At 40.8% G+C, this 25871-nt stretch overlaps 1 protein-coding gene and 1 pseudogene across 36 annotated transcripts in view; one reads left to right on the forward strand and one right to left on the reverse strand.

Moving 5' to 3' along the window:
• FREM1 (FRAS1 related extracellular matrix 1) overlaps positions 1-25871 on the reverse strand; it is a 173844-nt gene that overhangs the window by 88833 nt on the left and 59140 nt on the right. For 29 of the 36 annotated variants that reach the window (NR_163238.2, NM_144966.7, XM_047422844.1 and 26 more), the window contains 5 exons: positions 25300-25623; positions 22681-22789; positions 19976-20107; positions 16332-16676; positions 15463-15605 (listed from right to left, as the gene is read on the reverse strand). Coding sequence is in view for 32 of the 36 variants with exons in the window: in NM_144966.7 (NP_659403.4) it covers positions 15463-15605; positions 16332-16676; positions 19976-20107; positions 22681-22789; positions 25300-25623 (1053 nt within the window). In the remaining 4 variants the exon portion in view is untranslated. Of the gene's footprint in view, positions 1-15462; positions 15606-16331; positions 16677-19975; positions 20108-21195; positions 21382-21700; positions 22504-22680; positions 22790-25299; positions 25624-25871 lie in introns of those variants that run through there. The other 7 variants (NR_163241.1, NM_001370065.1, NM_001370063.1 and 4 more) reach the window with 4 other exon arrangements.
• Positions 24445-24551, forward strand: RNU6-1260P (RNA, U6 small nuclear 1260, pseudogene; annotated as a pseudogene).

The raw sequence follows: 25871 nt of genomic DNA on the forward strand, positions 1-25871 counted from the left end.
TTTACCCCTTCAAAAATCTTAAAACAACTTCTCAGAAAGTGTGGAATTATTTATAGAATATCCAAACTCCTTAGCATGGCATCCAAGACTTTCAATATACACTCTTTCTCAACCTTTTTTTTTTTTTTTGAGGAGTCTCACACTGTCACACAGGCTGGAGTGCAGTGGTGCGATCTCAGCTCACTGCAAGCTCCACTCCCAGGTTCACACCATTCTCCTGCCTCAGCCTCCTGAGTAGCTGGGGCTACGGGCTTCCACCATCACACCCAGCTAATTTTTGTATTTTTAGTAGAGATGGGGTTTCACCATGTTGGCCAGTCTGGTCTCGAACTCCTGACTTCAAGTGATCCGCCCTCCTTGGCCTCCCAAAGTGCTGGGATTACAGCCATGAGCCACCACCCAGCCACCTTTCAACATCTTTTACTACCTTTTAACATCAATCCAACACTCTAATTATACACAATGGACTGACCATGTACTGGTCCTTGACCACACTTCTAGAATGCTTTCCTCCTGTTTTATCCAGCAACCTGAGTCTTTCTCACCCTTAACGGCTCTTCTTAGACCTTTCTCCAATTTTTCAGTTGGAATTGTTCCTGAATTTTACTTACCCCTTGGTATGGTTTGAATGTTTGTGTTTTCTCTGGAATTTAAGTTGAAACTTAATTTCCAATACAAGATTAGTAAGAGGCAGGGCCATTAGTAGTGATTGGACCATGAGGTTGAATTCATGAGGGTCTAATTACCCTCATGAATGAACTTGTGCCTTATAAAAGGGCTCGAGGGAATGAATTCATCTTCTATCCCTTTCGCTGTGTGAGGACACAGCATTTGTTCCCTCTGGAGTATACAGCAACGAGGCACCATCTTGAAAGCAGAGAGCAGCCCTCATCAGACACAAAACATGCTGGCAACTTGGTCTTGGACTTCCCGGCTGCCAGAACTGTGAGAAATAAATTTCTATTATTTATACATTACCCAGTCTCAGGTATTTTGCCATAGCAGCACAAATGGACTAAGACAGAGTTAGGTACTGAAATACCTGAAAATGTGGAAGTAGCTTTAGAACTGGGTAATGGGTACGTACAGACTGGAAGAATTTGGAGAAGTAGGCTAGAAAAAGCCTATATTGCTGTGAATAGATCATAAAGGGCAATTCTGGTGAGGGCTCAGAAGAGGTGTGCTCTAGACAGAAGAACCTCAATCTTCTTAGAGATTACCTAAGTGGTCATAATCAGAACATTGGTAGACATACAAACAGTAAAGGCCCTTCTGATAAGGTCTTAGATGGAAATGAGGAATATCTTATTGGAAACTGGAAGAAAGATCTTCCTGTTATAAAGTGGCAAAGAACTTGGCTAAATGGTGCCTGTGTTCTAACACGTTATGTAAGGCAGAACTGAGCAGGGATGAGGTAGGATGCGTGGTGGAAGAAATAACTAAGCAAACAGTTGAGCACGTTGCATGGCTTTTCTTGACTTCTTATAGTAAAATACTAGAAGACAGAAATGAACTAAAGCCAGAATTTTTTGTCAAAGGGGAAGCAGAACTTAAAGATTTGAAAAATTCTCAGCCTGACCATATAAAGAATAAAAAAGCATCTTTAGGAGAGGCCACAAAAGGTGTGACCAAGTGCCTATATGATAGAGAGATTAGTATGAATAGAAAGAAACCAGCTGCTATTTATCAAGACAATGGAAAAATGACCCTGAAGGTATTTTAGACATCAGGCCACCATTCCCATCACAGGTTCAGAATGCCAGGGCCTTGAGGACAGAATGGTTTCAAGGGAGGGACCTGTGGGGTCTCTGCCCAGCACTGCCTCAAGTCTCTGCTCCCTGCATTCTGATGCAATCCTTGGCCATCCCAGCTGTGGCTCAAGCAGGCCCAGGAACCACTTGAGCCACCACTCTGGAGAACACAAGAAGTAGGCCTTGGCACAAATACCAACTCTGCTTGTGTGCAGAGTGCAAGAGCTGTGAAAACACAGCTGCCTCCACTTAGATTTCAAGAGATGCCTCAGAAAGCCTCGGGACTCAGGCAGAGAGTTGCCTCAGGTGCAGGGCTGCTGCAGACAGTACCCACTAGGGCAATGCCCAGCAGAGCCATGGGGTCAGGGCCACCCCAGAGACCACCAATGTGCAACGCCATCCAGGAAAGCCTCAGGCACCTGACGCCAACCTCTGACAGCTGTTGCCTGGGCTGTACCCAGAAAAGCCATAAAGGTGGAATTGCCTGGGGCCTTGGGGGCCCAATCCTAGCCTCAGCATGTCCAGAAGGCAGGACACAGAGTCAAAGAAGATTATTCACAAGCCTCAAGACTTAATATTGTTTGCCCTGTTGAGTTTTGGATCCTTTCTTCTTTCCTATTTCTCCCTCTTGGAAGAGGAATGTCTATCCTATACCTGTCCCACCATTGTATTTTAGAAGCATATAACTTGTTTGATTTTATTGTGCTCACAGCTCGAGGGGAAATTTGTTTCAGGATGAACTGTACCTAAAGTCTCACCCATACCTGATTTAGTACATAAATATGTACTAAATGAGATGTTAGACTTTATTTTTTTGCATTGATGCTGAAATGAGTTAAGACTTTGGGGGCTGTTGAGATGGAATTAGTATATTTTGTATGGGAGAAGAACATAAATTGTGGCGGGGCGGGGGAGGTGCCGGGGTAGAATGTTATGGCTTATTTATGTATAAATTTATTTATGGAAATAAATTTCTATTATTTCTAAATTAGTCATTTATCCCGTTATAGCAGATTAAACAAACTTAGACATCCCTCAACTAGCATACTTATTCTAATGTTTTGTATTGTTAGTTTACAAATGAGTCTCTCTCCCAGACTGAAAGTTCCATGAGGCCAGCATTACAATATGGTGTAAACCACATGGAATTTGACGGTACAGTTATAGTCCTGAGTATACCACTTACTAGCAGCTATTTAACCTTAAACAAGTTACTTAACCTTTTAGTGTCAATTTTCTTATTAGTAAGTTAAGCATAATACAACCTCACAGAGCTGTTATAAGGATCAAATATTACTATGTAGGTAAAATGTCTGGCACATAGTAGGTGCCCAATAAATACTACATTCGTCTCTGTATCTCCACAACATCTAGCACAATTTTTTTTGTAGGTAGGAGGCACTTTATTAATGTTTGCAAACTGAGTAAGTCATGTCCTGTTTGAGATTTTAAGTCTTAAAACTACACTTACAGGTTGGTATCATGCTAGAGGGTAAGGAGGACTTGCCAAACAGCTTTTATTATAACATTTCTTTTATAATAATCCATCATTGGTTGTGGAAAAGCTATTAATTACTGTCTGAAAATGGTGCTTTGCCTGGCATCATGGGTCTTTTCCACAGCCTGCTCCATGAACTTTTTCTATCTTGGTTGCCATGACTGTCATCAAATAAAGTCTCTGATATGAACTGAATGTGTCTTCCAACAAGCATATGTTGGAAACTTCATCACCAATGCAACAGTGTTTAGAGGAGGGGCCCAATGGTGTTTAGGTCATGAGGGCTCCACCCTCATGAATGGGTTAATGATCATTATAAAAGGGCTTGAGGCTGCAAGTTCAAGCTCTTGCTCTCTTCTCATCCACATGATGTTTTCCTCTGTATTATGATGTCATAAGAAGGCCCTCACAAGATGTAGTTCATTGATCTTGGACTTCCCAGCCTCCAGAACCATGAGCCAAATAAATTTCTATTGTTTATAAATTACCCAGTCTGTAGTACTCTGTTGTAGCAGTACAAAATGGACTAAGACAGCTTCACTCACTCAACTTGCTTTTGAAAAACATTTCCAACTCTATTCTACTTGGTAGACAGCTTTATAGACCTTAAGCCTTAAGAGATCTTAATCCAGGAGAGAGTAATATTAGAAGAAAAAGGGAGAATAAAAATAAGGATAGATGAGAGATGCAGAGAGAGGACCAGAAAACGAGGAAAGAATGGAAGAAGGTGACACAAAAGCACATGGGTGAAGTGGAAGGGAGAAATGAAACATGCCCAGAGGAGAGAACAGGTACCTGGGGGGTGCATATTTACCACAAGTCAGAGAAGAAAGTGGGTGGGCAAAACTAACAGTGTAAGTAGTTCCTGGGGGTGAGAAATAGCACTGGATAGTTTCAAGGGAAGATGCAAAAGAAAGAGCTAGCAGAAATCAAAGAATCAGGGCAGAGAAAGGATTAAGAACCCATTCCCACAAGAAAGTCAGATACCAGCTGGTGGAGTATTATATTGTGAGCCTGAATATGAAGACCAAGGCCAGGTTTTGTCATTTTGTGTACTGATTTATCACTTCATATTCTGATTCCTTATAAGTCTGTAGCCATAAGCAGGCTGGAGGGACACGGGGGAAGGCAGCAAGCAAGAGCCCAGCAATTGATTTGAGCACTAGTTTTCTACTGTTTGCCTGGGATTGGGTGTTTAATAATGCTTTTGTTACAATCAGATTTCAGTACATTGAGAACACTTTATTTCTCAATGGAGTTTGTTAAAATGGGACTTTTCTCACCCACAGAATAATAATTGTTTGAACATGCATAAATATGTAAAGACATATCAACTTAGGCCATCATAAAGCATGTTAAAAAAATGTGCCCACCGGAAGACCTCCTCCTCTTTCGGCTTTGGAGCTCCCCCCGCTCTGTTTCTGTATGGGGGAGCTTCTTCCTTCTGTCTTCTCCCTTCCTTCTTGCCTATTAAATGCTCCACTCCTTAAAACCACTCCACGTGTGTCCGTGTCGTTTTATCTAAACCGGCATGAGGGCCAAGACCCTTGGTGTTCCTTCACTCATCGAAGCCATATCACTTTGGTGCATTGAGGTACAGGAATCTGAGGTACAGCCTTCCTTCATCAGAGTGGCGACTGTGGGAGCAAGCTTAAAATCTGTTCTGTCATTCTGAGGCACTCTTCGCCTCTATATTAAAATAAATCAAATAACTCAACAGGCATCCATCAACCTAGTATATACGCTTATTGTTGGCTACCGTACTCAAGTCACGGATATAAGGCTTGCTGGGGAGAACTTGGAGAACCCCCCATTACCCACAGGTATTGGGAATGTTGGTCATGCTTGAAGTAGCTTCTTTTCACTGGTGACCTTGCCATCACGTGAGGCTGGGAAAAGTTCTGAGGCAACTGAGAATTTCTGGCCAGGTGTGATTCAAAGGCCTCTGGACCGGACACAGCCTCCAACAGCCCATTCTGGGTGTTGGCAGAGAACCTCAACTATCCTGTTGCAAAACTCTTCTTCCCTTTCTGTCCGCAGCCTCTTACTCTTTCTCTGCATGAAATGTGCAAAGATTTTTACAGTCTAGGAACAAAGTTACAGCGAGGTTACTTGATACCACTTCTCTGGCGAGCACATGGTATTTCTAAGCCACCTGGTAGAAATCAGGCTCTAGGCCTCTTCTGTGAATGGAAAGTTTCTGCTTTTAACAATTAAGAGTAAAACGTCTTCTGCAGCCAAATTTTAATCTCGATATTGTCCCACTGGCAGGAAAATGGCCATTTGGTTCCTACATTCCTTTAAGGCACCTATTTTGTCTCCTATTAAGACAGTACTTAATTAGGAAGGGTATTTTAATTCTGGAAGTTAACCAGAACCATTTTTCTATGGGTAAATGCTTTAGCCTGGGCTATAATAGCAGGATACAGAGTTCAATCTAGCTTGCTCCCTCCCTTAAAGGGGCCTTGCCCAATTACATGATTTTTCTTGGAATCTATTTTTTGGAAGGCACACAGGCCACGCAAGTCTAGGAGGTCAAAGGGAAATAAAAGGCAGAGAACTGATTGCTTGGGGACAGAGTGACTAAGGCCCAAAACTCAGTTCCTCTGGCGCCATGGCTCGGAGGGTCACGCCTGCAAGTCATGTGCGGCACATTTAAGCGGGTGCCGGGAATCCAAGAGCGACGGACAGAGAATAGCTGGGGGGACGCCCTCTACTGTTTTCATCTCCATCCTGGATCACATACCGAAAGGAAGGAGACGAAAACGACGCTTTTATTCTCACTTCTCTTTCTAGATGGGTAACAGATTGTCTTCAACATGCACTCCCCTGGAACATATTTTGAAGCACTGGGACTCCTTCGACCTTGAAACTTTGAAGAAAAAGTGGTTTATTTTCTTTTGCAGCCATATTGGGCAGGCCCAGGGAAAACAGTTTCCCAAAATTAAAAAGGTAACTTTCAGGGAAGTCATCTGAGGGTCCCCCTTATTTGGGGCCCCTTCAAGTTCCCTTCTCATTGCAGGACCTTAGGCAAGTAAAGGCAGACTTAGGCCGATTTTCTAACTACCCTAATAGGTATATAGAAGCTTTCCAAAATGTAACTTAGGTATTTGACCGTACACAGAGTTGGCAAACCCTCACTGCAGCTAAAACAGGCAGCTCTGCACGCAGAAGAGAATTTTGGAGATAAGCAATATGTCTCCTATAGTAGGCCAAAAGGGAAGAGAAAAAATAGGGAAGGCAAAGAAACAGGGGAAACACAATTCCCAATAGGAAGAGAGGCAATACCTCTTAACAACCCTAATTGAATTCCTTTCTACAATGCTTTTCCTTCTTTTGCAGTTTAAAATGGCTTCTATCTCTTTTATAATGTTCTTCCAACCTGGGAAAAACTAATTTTCCAAACCTTAAAATGCTTGATGTAGAGTTGAGCTAGCGGGGAGGGAACCCAGAAGCCTGATGCCTGATATGCTGGCAAAAGGGTAAAAATTTCTCACCAGTTGGGCTTTTGGCTTCTCTCCCTGTGCAAACCTGAAAAAGGGGTAATAAGGATCACTGCTTATGTTCTCAGTAAATGTATAATTAATAAAAAAAGGATTTGTAAGGTTGGTCTTAAGCTGTAAACAATCTTGTATGCTTTGCGTGTCTTTCTGTATGGATCTACCGAAGAAAAGGTATCTTAGGTTAGGATGCAGGCCCAGGACCCCATAGGCCTGCTGTTCCAGCCAGCCCAGCAGAACGGTCAGTAACAAACTTGGCTATGGGCCTCCAACTTGTTTCATGTCCTTAGGAACATAATCGGTAACCATGTGGCAATACTTTGTTTTAGTCTCTGCCATTTTACCGTGGTGGCTGTCTTCTTGTGCTAAGTCAGTGCCTGGGTAAGGGCCACAAAATCAAATAAGCCAGTTTGTCACTCTGGGTGGTGCCAGCCGATCCATCAAGGGCAGGGTTTATAAAATATCTTAAGCACTGATCTTAAGAGTGGTTTAGGGAGGGTCAAAATCTTGTAGCCTCCAGCTGCATGGCTCCTGGGCCATGGTTTCTAATCTTGTGGCTAGTTTCTTGGTCTTCCCCAGGCAAGAGGGAAGTATATCTTGGGAAGCGGCTGTTATCATCTTTGTTTTAGACTACAGCCTATAAACCAGGCTCCTTCCAAAGTCGGTTCAGCCTACACCCAGGGATGGTCGAGGAGAGCTTAGGGGCTAAAAATAAAATGGAGTTGTTTGGGTCGGATCTCTTTCACTGTCTCAGTCACAATTTTGTAATGGTAGTTTCAAAAGCTGCCTATCACTCCTTTGAAAATACCTTGCACACTCATGGTTAAGTCATAACCTAATTAAGGCTCATTGATTTCATCTGTGAGGTTACTTTTTTGTAACATTCAAAAGCTGAAAATCTTTACTGCTTGGTGTAGCTAAAGTCAAGTAACAAGGGATTTAAAAGGATTTTCTTAAAGAGTGCTCAGCTTAATTAAGAGTGGATATTCAAGTTAGAGGTATATTTAAAAGGCCTTTATGTTTTTCTTTTTTTGGATGTTGTTTTTCTGGAAAAAGGCTCTTTTCTTCTCAGTCAACTGAGTTATTTTTCTCCATTTTTTGTCTTACCACTCTTAATGCATGCCTGAAAGGCTCTAAGATAACTTCTGGTAGCATGGGACTCCTTGGGAAAAACAGAGGAGGTGCCACAGACCCCGTTTTGTGGGGCAGTTGGGGGGGATCCTCTGTTTTCCTCATAAAACCCCAGGAATTAAAAGGAAATTATCCCTCTCAAAATCAAAGGCTCTGTTCTGTTTTGCATTGTGTTATCTGATGGTTTTGAGTTTTGGGAGTATCAGAAATTACTTCGCATTATGAGAGAGCTTTGGTGAGTAATAACTAGGTAGAAAATACACTGTAAGAGATGGCTAATAGTAGTTATAAATCAGAGAAGCACGCTCTTAGCCACCTGGAAAATAAGGCAACATCTCCACCCCACACTGAGGGATGAGACTCCCATCAGGGATGGGCTGATTACAAAATAAGCCAATTGGCTTTGGGTTGCCTTGAAATGAAGTGCATGGTAGAAGCACTACACCTTCTTCTCCCATGGTATCTATATGGTCTTTTCTTAAATTAAGCATTGAAATAAAAGCATAGCAAGAAGGTCTTAAGACACTACTCTGTCCTTTAGTAAAAGGGTTACAAAAGGTTTGTAAAAATTTCACCTCATGGTCAAATTGATAAAGATAAAATGGAATAATCTATAAGGTTTCACTTGAACAAATAAACTAATGCAAGGGTAAAATTTAGCTTTAAACCGAATTTTCATATCATAGTAAAGACTAATAAAATGTTTTTGCCTTTTGAGTCATCATTTTGGCAAAATAATTTATGGCAATCTGGAAATTATCCTTCCTGATGCCTGGCTTTTTGAATGGTTCAGAGGGCCCCTGAAACATTCAGAAAAGAGGTAAACAGGATTATCTGACATATTTAGTCACATGAGATTGCCAAAATGATGTCCAATCTTTTTTAAGTTATATTTTGGTGAACACTAATATATGTTCAAAAATTGTATGGGTTTTCTAAAATTCTAATGCCTAAGTATGTGCTATCAATCATAATTAAGGGTAAAGTTATTGTAAACCACGAAGATAAATAAAGTTCTTTGCCAGTCATGTTTTTAACTGTAACTATCCTGGGAATGTTGCCATTCACAGACAATTGTTGTCTTGCTTTGTTCCTTCTCAAAAGATGGTTTATAATCAAGCTATATTAAGGACTTTAACAGGTGTTCTCAAATGCAGGTTTGTAATAGCTTTGAAGATTGTAACACTGAAATGGAGGGAGAATCTACAGGACTCCTAAAAAACTGACATGTTCACAAATATCAAGCAAAACAAAATTTAACTAAGTGGACTGCACTCACAAAGTTAAAGCAAACTTTTTAACTTTCGCTTGGAATATTGCTGATCCTTGTTTAGTTTTTCAGAGTCAAGGAAACTTATTTTAAACTATTTACAGCCTTTAATAATTGAGTAAGGTATACTCCTGTAAACAAAATTTGGAGCATGTTCATTTTTCTCCGCCTGATTCCTCTAGAATTTGGAGACTATCTGTAAGTACTCTTATGGCAATACAGTTGTTTGCATCAGTGCAATAAGAATCAATTTTTCTTTGTCAACAGGACACAGTTGGAAAACTGGTTATTTTATCAAGGCTTTGACTGAAGGGGTGTGTCTCCCTTTAAGGAATCAAGCTCGACATGTACAGCCAATTAAAGCCCCTTAGGGAGAACTGGCCTACCACCTTGTCTATACAGTTCCTAACCTGTGGTCAGTGAAGAATGTCACTTTCTAATAGGTCTGGAAGCTATGAGTTTATCTTGGGACCTCAAGAGGAAAGGATCACCCAACTCACAGGTATTAGAGGATACAAACCCATGGCTGGGCTCGGCTTTAAAAGTCTTACCTGAAATTCCTTGTGAAACAGCGTTTCATCAAAGCCAATCCAAAAGGCCTATGTAAAAATAACCATTCTTGCTGCACTTTATGCAAATAATCAGGCCAACTATAAGACTAAAGTTTACTGATAATTACTTTTTACCAAAAGTGAAGACTGAAGAGAAAAATTTTGCTCCAAAACTTATCATACATTTGTCATTAAATCCTAGTCTCTTGTTTTTCAGCTTTTTGCCTACGTTTTAGACGAACCCTGCTTATTCCTGTGAATCAACTGGTGATCTGCAGCTTGGAAAAAAGAAAAAAGGGACGGGTAACGTCAAAATGTGAATCAATATGCTAGTTCTGGGCAATTATCTTGCAACTTCTGCCGGGTAATGAAAAGTGAGTAAGGTGCCCATAACTCTGAGCTTTCTTTGTTTGGGAAAATAAAACCAAGGAACTTCATAGACCCCCAAAGGGGAGTTCTCTATCTTGGCAAGTAAAATTTTAGATGGAAATTATCTACCACACCACACTTGTGGGAATTGCTGTCCTCACTCTACTATTTGCAATAGGGTTATACACGGTAGCACCTTCAAACTAAAATATTGGACAGAGAGTTTTCATTGCTGTAGTATTTTGCTTAATTATTATCCTTATAACTGGGATAATAGTTACTGACAAAAAGAAAGCGTAAAAGTTTTACTATCACTAAGTCTGCTAGGATTTTTTATTGGATTTAGTGATGCACTTTTAAATGAAACATGCTGCTTTTGGATTAACACCTAGTAAAGGAAAGGAAAATCTACAGGTACTTAAAAATCAAATCAAAATTATTAACAGGCTCAGGGAAAATGCCGGCTTCAGCCCTGGGCGGCTACAATCCCTCTTTAATAAATTCCAGTCTTCTTTCTGGAATTGGTTAACCCCTTTATTAAGCCCTCTCTTGCTTATATGTCTTGAATTGATATTTGGACGTTGTATATTCAGTACTATGACTCAAATTGTTTCTTCTCGCCTAAAAGCAATCAAACTCCAAATGGTGCTGCAAACTGAACCGCATGTGGACATGCCATTCTTCCGAGGACCCTTAAATCAATCCCAGGAGGAGCCCTAACTGCTGTTCCCCATTCAACGCCCCTTTTAAGTAGGAAGTAGCCAGAAAGAGTCTTCGCCCAAAACCCCCTAACTGCAGTTAGTGTGATATTGCCGCAGGGAGGAATGTGGTAGGAGTTATTAAGAAAAAGAAATTATTTTATGCAGATAGAGAGGAAAAGGGGTCCTTGGGTAGTTTTCGTCTTTTAAAGCATATCCGGAAAAGTTTCTTGTAAAGCCCCAGCTCTTAGTCAGGTGGGCAACCTTTGATATGCAAATGCCGGCCATTAGAAACTGGGTCCACCCAACATGGCGATTCCCTTGGCCTTCTTGCCCTTGGCCCATATGCTCCTGGCAACATGGCCGCCCCCACATATCCCCACATGTGTAGAAATCAGGGTGCCCACATTTGCATATTAAAAGGCTAGGGTGGGAGGACCAGCTTTTTCGCGGGCTACATGAATGACATGCCTGGTCAAACCTATTTCCTGAGCCCTATGCAAATCAGACACCACCTCCTCCAGCCTCTGCATATATACCTGGCTGGTGTCCACCATACTTGGGGACCTCCTCTTTCAGCTTTAGAGCCCCATTCCCACCTCTGTCTCTGTACAGGGGAGCCTCTTCCTTCTGTCTTCTCCCTTCCTTCTTGCCCCGTCTTGTATATTAAACTCTCTCCACTCCTTAAAACCACACACACACACACATACACATACACACACACACACACAAATGTGCCCACTAAGAATTATTACAGGGGTATAAAAAAGCATGCTGTACATTCTTCTTACACAAAGAACACATTGGAGAATAAATTAGCATGGAAAATGGTCTCTTTGAAGGCACAATAACTATTGTTTCCTTATTAAATCCAGTTTTCCAATTAAGTGGAGCCTCACTGATCCACACTATGGCTGGGAAGTCCCACAGAGAATTTCTGAACTTTGTAGATTAGCGAAACACTGTAATTGGGGGGAAAAAATCATGACACAGACTGCAGGAGAATAGAAAAATGACTGCCATTGTGTTTATTTTGATAACCGGATTTAATTTTTAATTATTGAAATGCTTCATAATGGATAAACATGCTGTAAACTTTGGCAACAGTCATGAAAGGATAGAGACAGGGAATTAATTTATTGAGCACCTACTAAGTACTGAGTACTCACTGTGCTACTAGCTATCTTGAGTGATCCAGATAGCACTTCACTAATAATAGCCATGGTTATTATTCCCAATGTTCAGAGAAAAAAACCTGAGCCCCAAAGGGGTTAAATGATTTGCCCCAGGGAGCACAGCTTGTAGGTGGCTGAGCTGAAGTTCTAGCCTTTTTTATGTCATAGAAAAAGCTTAATCATAATTTAGTTTTGCTGTGTGTGTCAATTTCAAAAGGAATTCTCATCATTTTCAAATTGAGTATTCTGAATGCCATTGTTGTAGACAAAATTGGCATTGCTCATCTGTACTTCCATTACAACGTCAAAATAAAACAAAACCATGGAATATTCTGATCACGAAAGCTACCATCAAGTAATCATTTTATCTGGACTTCTAGTTGAGCAGCTGAAAGTTATGAATTTTGTTGAATATTTTAAATCTATTTTTATCTGTAGGACATGACTAGATACTTGTCCAAATTGAGAATGTAAACATCAAACAGACCAGGTAATCATTTGAGTTCCTCAAATATTGAAGTTTCACTGATATCGGAGTTTTAAATATAAAAATGCTTGCCAGCACACACACACACACACACATACACACAATACTTGTTTCATTGGCATGCACACACTTATTTCTAGAAACTCTGAATAAAGCTTTACACTTATTACCGCCCCATCTCACTCCCTCCCTAGTCCCTACCAAATGTTTGGGTCTTATTTCCTCCTAGTTTCAGTAAATGTTGAAAGAACCAGAATTCATTTGGTGATCAATAAGCAGTTTGTAAGGGTCTACAATGAGTCAGATACCTAGGTCTAGAAACATTGAAATGAATAATTCCGGGTCCCTACTGTCAAGGAGATCAGAGCTGATCCAATAAAAGAAATAGTGGTCTTACTTTACAGAAAGTTCAACAACAAAGATATGTGTAAACAGATGCCAGAGCATGTAAAAGGACAAGCTGATCCTGCCTGAGGGTTTGTGGAATGGGGTCGTCAGAGGATTCTTGGAACAGCTGATGTTAGAGCTGACAGCAAGTCCATAGTCTGGAGAGGGACTAAGACAAAGTTACCACCAACCAGAAGAGGGAGAATGGGAAAAACAGATGCTAGATTAATTTCACTAAGAATACTGCTACTATATTAATGAGTTTTAATTTATCGCAACTATAAGGATTTGGTTAATCACCTCTATTTGTAAAAGGCCATGGGAGGGGTTGAGGATAATCTAGCCCAGAAAAGATGAAGGTTGGAGCTGAAGCAATGGCAGTGAGGTGGGGAGGTAGAGATAGATCAGAAAAACTCGTCAAGCAGATTTAGTAAACCTGCTGACTGATTGGTTGTGCTGACATTAGAGAAAGGAGTCAGGGATGACTTCAGAGATTCCAGCTAGTTATTTTGTGCAAGTTTTTAGGGACACATGCTAGATGTATTTTGGTCATAAGTTTAAAACGCTGATGATACATACATGTAAAGATGTCAGATAGAGAGGTAGGACACACATCTGAGCTGGATAAACATTTAGGGGCCAAAGATATATGGTAATGAAGAGAGCAAATTTGTAGATCTCCCTCTGTCCCCTTCTCTTTCTCTTTCTAACATAAATTAAGAAGATGAAAGCAGAGAAAAACATGATAAGCATCTTTAGAAACCTATCCATCACAGGGAATAAACTTATAACTAGATCTACAGAGTTTAGTTTGACCAATTTGCCCAGATTCAGAAATAATTATGCTGCACTAAAGTTTTCATTACAGAGAAATCTGACATCTATACTTGTGTATATGAAGAGCATGATTTATAAAATATATAACAACGAAAGAAGAAAAAAGAAGTCCTGAATTTTTCATTTTTAAAAAGGCCCATAGGCCACTAAAAGTGATACGGTATCCTAGTCAGAAACATAACTCAGATTGGATAGATACACAGAAGACTTAGAAGTAAATCCTATTAACTGTTACCTTTTTGAACTATCAAATAAACTAAGGTTTCAAGCAAAAACTTAATCTAGAAATGACATATAATACATTGATAAAAAGAGGGAGGTGTTATTTGAAAAGGAATTGACCTGTTAGTCAAAGAGCAGATGAACTGAGTTTTCTCATTCATTCTCTATTCCTTCTTAATAGGGATTACCTATTGCCTTCCATTTCTGAGCTCTCTGGAATCATTCTTCCTGATCATCTCCTTCTGTTATACTCTTCTTAGCACACAGATGAATAGCTCAATCATCTATGCATTAGCTAATGTCAGTGTCTATGACATTATGGGAAGGCATTATGTGACAAATAGGACCCTTGCTTTAAGCAGTCATTCTAGAACAGGTTGGAAATTTGCTTGGATCCATATACAGGCTATCTTCCAAGATAATAGGTACAAAATGCCTAGCAAAATGTACGTACATAGTAGGTTTATTAGCCTGTTCTCACACTGCTGATAAAGACATACCTGAGACTAGGCAATTTACAAAAGAAAGAGATTTAATGGATGTACAGTTCCACATGGCTGGGGAGGTCTCACAATCATGGCAGAAGGCAAAAAGGATCAAGTCTCGTCTTACATGGATGGCAGCAGGCAGAGAGAGAGCGCGCAAGCTTGTACAGGGGACCACCCGTTTTTAAAACCATCAGATCCCGTGAGACTTATTCACTATCATGAGAACAGCACAGGAAAAACCCACCCCCATGATTCAATTACCTCCCACCAGGTTCCTCCCATGACACGTGGGAATTGTGGGAGTTACAATTCAAGATGAGATTTGGGTGGGGACACAGCCAAACCATATCAGTAGGTGATTACTTAATTTCAGCTGTCCTTTTTTAAAATCTCTATTATCAACCAGCCTCTCCTTTCAAGGAGTCTACTCTATTATAGTTGTCCAGACACTACCCTGACTCCACTTTCTGTAATTTCTATATGGCAATGTTTGCTTAAACTTCTTTCTGCATTCTACACATTTAAATTATATCCTCTAGTGGTAGAAGAGACTCTTAGATCTTTAAAGACAACAATAAATAATAGCTAATGTATTTATTGAGTGTTTCCCATGAACCAAAATGTTCTCAGTACTTTATATGCATTATCTCACCTTCACAATAACTCTAAAGGAAGGTTCTATTATTATCTGTTTTACAGACAAGGAAACTGGAGCATGGGTTGACCAGTCAGTCAGTGTCAAGATCAAGAGGGAAACTCATGCAACCTAACTCTAGAGCCTATAATTTAATCACCACATATAAAATAAATGTTTTCTTGAGTGTCGGGAGACAAGCAAATTTTGTGAGTTGCTCTACATAAAAGGGTCCCATAGTTAAATGACCTTGAAACACTGAATACATAGATATCTATAAAAGTCTTTCAAAAAGGAAACATTTGAGTAGTCCTATTGCAAAGAAATCTGCTTAATTTTGTTTAATCGATTGTTTTTCAAATTTTAAACCTTGAAACCTATTTTCATGTGGTTTCTAACCACATCTCCTAGAATTGACACCTGTGCACAAGACTTTGGGAAAGTGTTCAGAAACAGTCTCTTACCTGTGGCACTGAAAGATTTGGAGGTTCATGGCTGTCCCACAGGACAAATTGAAAAGAATCTTCAAAGATTTCTCCACCAAAATGACGATAATAAATGATTCCATTAAACAAATCCCTCTGAAGGAAGCCATGGACAGGATAGCCTATTGGGTCCATAAAACACCACATACTTTTGTACAAGCCTATCAAATATCGAGGGACAATGATATTGGACTTATCTTCAAAAGTCTTATCTGTCTAGTACATTCTATGTACCCAAGGAATCTGCATTAAATGTTTTCATCAAAGATAAATAATAAAGCAGAAAAATAATAAATAATAAAGCAGGAAAACTAAAGTCACTATATCTGTCTTGATATATGGAAAAATTAGCATTAGAAAAATATTTTCAAGAAACTTACTCTTATTTCAAATATACAAAGTAACACTAACTACTTACTTGATCCCTATTTTGTCAAACTCCGGATCTACCTACTTTAAGAAGTAGTTACAAAATGATTCTAACAAAATGTAAACAAATGTTATTCATGAAATTATCAATAATCTAGAATAGTCAAAAAATCTCCTTTTAGACTAATTTGTTCTATCACCTTGCTCGGCTGACTTAATTTTTCATAGTGTAATGGTTACTTTGAGGCTCAGCTCTGGAAATCTGTAGATGCACAACCTTGGACAGATCAAATTAACTTTCCTAAATCTCAGGCTTCCTCATTATGAAATGGGAATAAAAATACTATCTTACTTCAGAAACTTGATGTTCACCTTAGGACAAACTCGGACACAATTTCAGCAAACCCAGAAGGATGCATAGAAGGTTCTCTATGGAAGAGTGAATTCCATTCAAATGATCTTAACTGCCCAGAACTTACCTATCAGTCCTGGCCCTGGCTTCTTCATGATCTCCCCAGCCTGTGGAGGCTTTGTGATATTGAAGAAGATGTAGTCATCACTGGCGTCCACATCTGAAGCTCGCAGCATGGATCCCTGGATCAGGATGGTCTGCCCCTCCTCCAGTTCAATCACAACATTGGTTATGAGGAACGGGGGACTATCATCTTTGGGCAAGACGTTGATGGGGAATTTGTGACGGATGCTGTGATGGCCATCAAATATCCGGAAGACCACGAAGTCTTTGGTGGAGTCGCTGTCATCATGATGATAGCGAACAACTCCAGCCTGGAGGTCAGCCACGGTGAAGAGAAACCCTTTCCCCCCTGAGGGAGAGAGCAGAGATGGAGCAGATTGAGCAAGGGAGTGCAGAAGCAGCAGCTGTGGGGAAAGCATCAATACAGTAGAGGCTGCTAAGGAAAGTGTGCAGCCCGTATTTCCCTCACCTGGAAAAACTACAGATTGTTAGTGGGTTCTGGGAGAACATATCTAGTTTTGAATACTGGCTCCAACATTTATCAGTTGTGCAGATTTGAGCAAGGTATTTAATTTATGAAACTCATCTATAAAACATGGATAATACTACTGTGATGGTTTTAACTTTTTCCATCAACTTAACTGGGCTAAGGAATGCCCAGACAACTGGTAAAATATTATTGCTGGGTGGTTCTGTGAAGCAGTGTTTCTTGAAGTGATTAGCATTCGAATCAGCAGACTGAGAAAAGATCACATTCATCATTGTGGGCAGGCATCATCCAATCCATTGATAGACTGAATAGAACAAAAAGGAAGAGGAAAGGGGAATGCTCTGTCTCTTCTGGAGCTGAGACTTCCTTCCATCTTCTTCCCTCTGACACTGGAGCTCCTGGCTCTTGGGCCTTTGAACTCTGGAACATAAACCAGCCATCCTCTAACACCCTCATTTGTGCCTCCACCCTCCACCTTCCCTACCCCACTCACCCCTCTCCACTCCCCTTGCCCATCTTCTCAAGCCTTTGGCTTTGGACTGGGTTACACCATCAGCTTCCCTGGTTCTCGGGCCTTCAGACTAATACCCATGACTTCCTGGGCTTTCCTGGTTCTCCAACAGCCTAACAAGGAACCTCTCAGCCTCCGCAATTACATAAGCCAATTCCCAGAATAAATCACCTCATAGATAGATAGGTAGGTAGGTAGGTAGGTAGGTAGGCAGATAGATACATACATACATAGATAGACATTCTGTTGGTTTCATTTCTCTAGGGAACCCTTACTAATACAAATACTTACCTCATAATCCACAGCAAGAATGAGAGAACTTAAGCAACAGTAAGCCTACAATAAATGTTGGTTATTCTTCAGCTAATTGCTACCATCTTACATGGCAGCAGTTCTTAGAGGAGTGGTCTCAAACCAGCAGCCTCAGTACCATCTGGAAAGTTTTAGAAATGCAAATTCTCAAGCCTTACCCTGGACCTGCTGAATCAGAAATTCAGGGGTGGGTGGGAGGGAGGCAACAACCAGTGTTATCAAGCCTATTTGAAAATTACTGGCTCAAAGACCAAGAGCTAGAGCTCTAATATCTAACAGTCTGGGTTCAAATCCCAGTTCTGCCATTTTCTAGGTGTGCAACCTTAGATAAATCAGTTGTTCTAAGTCTCAGGTTACCCATTTGTAAAATGGGAATAATAATAGTATCTAATATCATAAAGTTGATATGAGATAACAAGTTAAAGTATACAGAATGCTTTCTACAGTGTCTGTCACAAAGTAAAGCTTAATAAATGATCACACTATTTTGTGTCTCCTCTGAACCCAGACCATCAATGCATTATGGTCTCCCACTCTCCATTTCATTGCTGTAGTATTAATAAACATTGCTTTGTTTTCTTCAGATACTTACAACTCTTCCTTTTTTTTTTTTTTTCTTTAGACGGAGTCTCCCTCTGTCGCCCAGGCTGGAGTGCAGTGGCGTGATCTCAGCTCACTGCAACCTCCACCTCCCGGGTTCAAACGATTCTCTTGCCTCAGCCTCCTGAGTAGCTGGGGCTACAGGCACGCACCACCATGCCGGGCTATTTTTATGTTTTTAGTAGAGATGGGGTTTCACCATGTCGGCCAGGCTGGTCTTGAACTCCTGACCTCAAGTGATCTGCCGGTCTCGGCCTCCCAAAGTGCTGGGATTACAGGTGTGAGCCACTGTGCCCGGCCAGAGACTTACAATTCTTAATGGCAGGTGCACCCCATTATTCTCTTCACACCACGTGGCTGTGTTAAAGACCTTAGAGGAATAAACGATTTAACACTGTCTTGACCAAGATCCACTTTATGCTTCTTCCTCACTACCAGAATCCTAGTTGTATTTGGCATAGCAATATGGTCATTTAAAAATACTCAGGCTTCCCGACTTGCTTGCACTGAGGAGTTGTATGTGACATAGTTTGATAAAGAAATCTAAGTGGAAATTGTTGTATTGTGCTCCTAGGAAAACTTGTTAGATACAGCAAACTTAGATCATGACTTCTTTCATTGTTCCTTCTGGGTCTTCAAGCCTCAAATACATGAAGAAAATAACTAATTTTCAAGCCACTACACTTGGATTTCTCTTACATACAAGCGAACACCCAACCTGACTGGTATACCCAGATTTAAACTGGCCTCCCACTGTCCTGAGATTAAGCAGGAGGATTTATCATACATTTATTATTTTGTTTTTGATTCCAGAATTCCCTGCTCACAAATGATGGTGAGAGTTATCTTTCTGCATTACAGTTAGGGAAACTAAGAAGATAATTGAATTAAATCCTCTGAGTTCATTATAAGGAATGACTTATTTTATCATAAAGTGTAAATATTACTTTTATTAGATTATTACCTTGTTAACTATCATCCCATAGAATTATAAATTTATTTCTTTTAAACCATGACAACTACTACTAATAACATAACATCATTATTACTAAAGTATTAATTAAGCATTAATTTTTCTTTTTCTTTTTTCTTTTTTTTGAGATGGAATCTTGCTTTGTCACCCAGGCTGGAGTGCAGTGGCGTGATCTTGGCTCACTGCAACCTCTGCCGCCCAGGTTCAAGCAATTCTCCTGTCTCAGCCTCCCAAGTAGTTGGGACTACAGGCGCCCGCCACCATGCCCGGCTAATTTTTGTATTTTCAGTAGAGACGGAGTTTTACCATATTGGTCAGGCTGGTCTTGAACTCCTGACCTCAGGTGATCCACCCACCTTGGCCTCCCAAAATGTTGGGATTACAGGCGTGAGCCACTGCGCTCGGCCTAATTTTTCAATATACTTCTTTGAAGCAGAGAAATAAAAAACATTCTGTCCTCCAACTGGGAAAAAAATAACTAGTTAAGGAGTATACTTACAAGAAGCCATGCATGGCATCCAGAAAGCAAAACTGAGGTTTAAACAATGAGCCACGTACAAGGTACCATTCATAAATGGTTAGACATTGATCTGAGCATTTGAACACAAAAGTCAATGATTTCAAGATCTCCAGATTTTCTGCATTTGACAATTTCATTGAGAAATTGGGCCCAAGAGATGCTACATATATCTGTTAAATATATCTACTTTTGAAGAAAATACTTTTGGATTCTTTGCTAGGTTACCAAGTTGGATCATTCACCTCTTAAAGTCAGCCATCCATGCTGCAGGCCACCAACGGTGACTAGCCGGACAGCACCAATGTCGTCATTGTCGACAACCTGAAACTGTTCCCAAGTGATGGCTCGAGACTGCCCCTCAAGGAGACTCAGACCTATGAAAGAAAGGAGAAAAGGGTGTTGGTATCATAGACTGGATAAAGAAAATGAGGCACATATACACCATGGAATACTATGCAGCCATAAAAAATAATGAGTTCATGCCCTTTGCAGGGACATGGATGAAACTGGAAACCATCATCCTCAGCAAACTAACACAGGAACAGAAAACCAAACACCACATGCTCTCACTCATAAGTGGGAGCTGAACAATGAGAACACATGGACACAGGGAGGGGAACATCACACACCAGAGCCTGTTCGGGGGTAGAGGGGAAAGGGGAGAAAGAGCATTAGGACAAATATCTAATGCATGAGGGGCTTAAAACCTAGATGACAGGTTGATAGATGCAGCAAACCACCATGGCACATGTATACCTATGTAACAAACCTACACGTTCAGCACATATACCCCAGAACTTAAATTTTTTAAAAAAAGATAAGAAAAGGGTATTGGCAAGTTCTATGACATGCCAACGTGCCTGCTTAAGAAAAGATGAGTGAATTTCCACTCATGAAACCATCTGAATATTGCATCTATAAAAGCTTTTCAAGAAACTGGAATGTAGCTTTTATTTTTAGTACTATTTTTATTTTTAGTACTATTAACTCCAATATTACAACAGATTACAGATAATCCTGAAAGGGAGCAGAGCAAGCTGGTCGAATTGCAAGGTAGCGTGCTGCTGGACTTATCTTATGCTTCTCTCACATCTGCCAGCTTCACCTGCCATCCCGGCCTCGACCAACTGACTGTTCTCTAGCTGCAGCCGCCCCATGAGGGTTCCCAGTCTCCAAAATTGTAAAGCCCTCCTGCCACCACTGCCTCATCTTCTGATGCAGCCGGCTACCTCCACTGCCCTCTAGTGGCGGCAGGACCAACCTTGTGGCTGATCAGGCCCTGCACCAGGGGACCCAGGAAGTGTGTGCAATGGCTGCTAAGAGGGGCCAGATAACACAATCTGGGCATGTGGGGAGTTAACAGCCAGTGAAGTAAACTTTAACCCATTAAACACAGGAGATGGGAAATAACTGACCATTAATAGATTGTTGACCTTTTCCCAACCCCACTTCCAACTCTTACCAGACACAGCAGTTGCATCTTCTCCCTGGAGACATCAACACTGCAGAGCAATCTGCTTTATCTTATTGTAAAGCTGTGACACCAGCTCAGCCATGCGTTTTTATTTGCTTCTCCCCTTACTCTTGCTTTTAGTATAGGGTTAGTACATCTGATCTGCCTCGGGGTCTGTTTTCTAGGGAAATTGGGCTAATACATATATAAAGGAGAGGGAGAGAGAAAAAGAAGGAAGGAAGGAAGGAAGGAAGGAAGGGAGGGAGGGAGGGAGGGAGGGAGGGAGGGTGGGAGGGAGAAGAAATGGACAGAAGTGCATAAGAAGAATCTCTGTGACTGGCAATAAGGGTTTGGAAGCCAGGAGTGCATAGGACAAGGCATCACGGAGCACAGCAGAGGAACAATCGAGAAGCCTAGAAATATATACAGCAAAATATTAACATTGGTTATATCTTCACGGCGAAATAATAATTTTAGATGCATTCTCCAAATTTCAACGATGGCACAGATCAAGTTCATAATAAGCAAACATTTATTTTAAAAGGGATTCTGATGTTCAAAGCAGCCAAAATGACATTGAGCAAACCTGGGTGTCACCGATCACACATACACGTACAGACTATTCCATCTCTACACTCAGGCAGGAGCCCATGCAACATGTGATTATTCCTAAACTTTAGGTTACTGATTCCATCTTTTCTCTCATTACCCCCTTGACAGAGGTACAGTAGGATGTATAGCCAGAATTATAAATCAAGGCTGCTCACCTGATGTTCTCTATCTCTGCTGAAACTCACACACATACAAACACATATCTATGTGTACACACACGAGGCAGCTCGTTTAAGCTGCCACCTGAGGATTTAAATCAGACACAGATATTTTTTCCTTAATACTATCTACCACCACTGCTTATAAGTATGTTTCAAATGGTATTGATGGGATCAGTGAGAAGGAAAAGATCTCCATTTACATTCCACATTTACATCTGATCAACATATACATATATATATCACATAAGTCCACTCAGAATTGAGAGGCATAGAAAGCCATATTTTAAAGCAGTTAAAGCTCTTATTTACATATTTTAGTTTCCATGCAGCCCAACATAAAAATAGACTATAGATTATAAAAGCTAAACCTTTCTCCAATCCCTTGGAACAATTTGAGTTGGAGATTTCAGTCCCACTACAGCTCAATATCACAAATAGTCAGTTTTTTGCTTCATTCAGTTGAAAAGTGTCCCTTTGTCTTATCTCCGGCAGAGGAAAGAACTTGGCCTCAGGACGCAGAAATCCTGGATTTAAATTTCTCACGCTGCCAGGAGGAATAAAAAAACAACAACAAAAGCTACTATGTGATGCCCTTAATCTGTCTGGGTTTCAGTTGCCACATGTATGACATAGGAATAAAACTACCTTTCTTTCCTGACCCATCTACTTTCTTGTATTCCCTTCAGGGCTATGTTGCTCTATGCCTTATATTGAGCTTTACCTGTATTCCAGGATACACGGGGGGCATTTGTATCTGCTGTTCTGATGGAGATGTGGACTGTCATAGGTGCACTCCTTTCAAAGAAGAAGTCGTATACCTCCAATTCTACCTGTAAACAAACAGAGGCAAAGGAGCCACACACTGAAGCGTTACAGGGTAAAGTAGCATTAATTCTGGGTTATACCCACACACAGTGGATTCAGTTTTCTGCGGGGATTCACATTTCTGCAGTTCCCACATCTCATTTAGACATCCTGATTTGACTTTTTCAGGTTCTAGATCTTGTTCCTTACTTTAACGGTATTTTTAAATTTTCTTCTACATAAAAGAATTTATTAATCTAAAATTGGTAATATGCTGGAGAAGTGTCTCTGCACTTGCTTAGGAGACCAACCCCTTCCCACATTCAGTCACTTAAATCTTTCTCAAAGGTGGAGGATCTAGAGAAGTGGTTTTCAACTAGGGGTGATGTTGTCCCACTACAGGACTTTTGGGAATGTCTGGAGGCATTTTTAATTTCAGAAGTCGGTGTGTGGGAAAATGCTATTGTCATCGAGTGGGTAGAGGCCAGGATACTAACATCCTACCGTACACAGGACAACCTCCCAAACAAAGAATTATCTGATACAAAATGGCAATTGTCGTACTGCTACTATCAAGAAACCCTGATCTAGAGACATGTATTTCACTAGACATATTTTTAAATATCTCAACTTTATTTGCTTTCATGAAATTCATAACTAATAAGTAAGTAGGGGCTGCGTGATAAGTTTTGATCTTTATTATGTGCTGTGTATGTATTGCACCAGATGTTGACAGAGAAGAATGAGGTATAACACAGAAATGCAAGGCATACTCCCTACTTTTGAAGAACATGTGGTCCATGGAAGAGGATAAGATAAATAATCAAACAGCACTATATCAGCAAACACTAAATAACAAAAGAAACTGATTCAAGGCTGCCAAAGCAACAGACTGAACAGGAAACTACATGGGCAGGAGGTGTCTTTTTTGGAGGGGTAATGCATTCGGTTGGGCCCTGGCCCAGGGCTTCCAGTCCACACAACCTGAAAACTGTGTGATCTCCACTGAAAAAATTGAGAGTTACTGTCTAACGAAAAAAATCACACATTCGCACAGGTTCTGCTTTAAGAGTACATTATACAATGCCAGAAACTACACACAGGAAGAGGCCAGAAAAGCAGTGCTCTAAGATTGGATGTGCAATGAGAAATTACTTCCTAACAGGGAAGGCATGGGGGGCCACAGACTATGATGAAAAGGGGGAAATAAAAGCAGAAGGCAAAGCATAGCGTTTATAGCCTGAAGTCCTTTGTCTTCCCTTGAGGCTACATGCTGAAAATGCCGAAATTACAATAGAGATAACCCCAGGGACGATCATTTTCCTTAATAAACCTGAGCTCAAGTCTCTATCAGTCTGCTCGTTTACAATTTCCACCCTGTTTGAATCAAGTTGCTGGTAGTTCTTTAAGCATGTGAAGCACTATTATGTGGAAGACTTTAACCAGCTGTCCTCCCCTCCCACTAACTACAAAACAGAGGAGAGAGGTGGAACCTGCAGCAAAAGGAAATTAGATAGAAGTAGGACCTTCCCGATGGACTGTGTTTCACTGTGAAATTAGTTATCAAATAAGACTACGGAATGTCCTATCCTGAGTCCGTGTTATTAATTAAAATTAAGGATTCCCATAAAAAGCTCTCACAAAAAAAAAGAATAAAAGAATTTATTAATAAAAGAATTGTGTGCTCACCTTGGCAGCACATATACTAAAATTGGAATGCTACAGAGAAGATTAGCATAGCCCCTGCACAAGGATGACACACAAATTCGGAAAGTGTTCCATATTTTGGGTGAACAACACACACTGGGGCCTGTCGGGGTTGGGGGTGGAGGGAGAGAGAACATCAGAAAAAATAGCTAATGCATGCTGGGCTTACTACCTGGGTGATGGGTTGATAGGTACAGCAAACCACCATGGACATGTTTACCTATGTAACACACCTGCACATCCTGCACATGTACCCCAGAACTTAAACACACCAAAAAAATTTTGTTAAAAATAAAAGAATTGTAAACAAAAGTCATCTCTAACTTCAATGGTCTCTGTGATTCAGGAAGGCTGTCGAAGGCTGCTGCAGTTCTCAAACTGGTGAGCCCTGGGTCAAATGTGGCCCTCAGAAATATTTGGTAGCTAGCACAATACGTTTCACTACAAGTTTTAATTGTTTTCTATATTCAAGAATTTAAGCATTTTACCAAAAATGTATCATTTTCCAATTTCTCTTGGCACATGAGTGCTACAGCAACAGTGGGCACACTTGTATCCTTGCAGGGCAGTGGTGGGCATGAGCTGAGTGGCAGCTGCTTCCTGAGGGGATGGCTCTTTCTTCAGTTTGCCACAGTGCCCCTCAGTGGGGTTTGCTCATTGACCCCACCTGCCTGGCTCCTCTGGGCAGTGAGTGTGCATCCTGATTTACAGTGATTGATTCTTTTCTGAGGCAATGAATGTACAAAGGAACCTGAGGGTTTAGGGTAGGGGGTTCTTAAATAACCCTGTGACTTCTAACTAGGCTGGAAGCTTTGTCTCTCCTTCTTACCTCATCATGTCTCCTCTCAGAATGGCTGCTGTTTGGTGGCTGATAGGCGATCTGCATGTCACTGAGATCTTTCCAGGTGAATGAGGAGATTGGTCTGGTGTGATCCAACAGGTGAGTCACATAGCCCTGGAGCGGGGCTTTAGTAATGTTGAACACCAGCAAGGGTTTAGGGGTCTCATCTTCTTCACAGTCCAGAACTGATGTAGTCAAGGAGGTCAGGATGAACTGATCCACTTCCAGAATAAACACGGCCATGAATGCAGCCTTTGGAATCTGATTCGGAATTCCAGCTCTGATATAGACAGGCAGCCACGCACTCTCTGACTTTTGAAGGATAGAGAAAATATAAAGGAGGAAATAATATGAATGAGGTGATATCATACAGGGCTAATAGCATAATATTTAATACAGCCACAGCCTAGCGTCTAGCAGTGACCTGAAGCCTGGCTGCATATTGGAATCACCTGGGGAGCTTTAAACACATGCTGGTACCTAGGATCTGTCTCCAGAGGTTCTTGTTTAATTGTTCCAAAAAGGGGACCAGAAAACCAGTATTTCTCGAGCTCCCTGGT

This window comes from Homo sapiens, chromosome 9 (assembly GCF_000001405.40).
Source record: "Homo sapiens chromosome 9, GRCh38.p14 Primary Assembly".
NCBI lineage: Eukaryota > Metazoa > Chordata > Mammalia > Primates > Hominidae > Homo > Homo sapiens.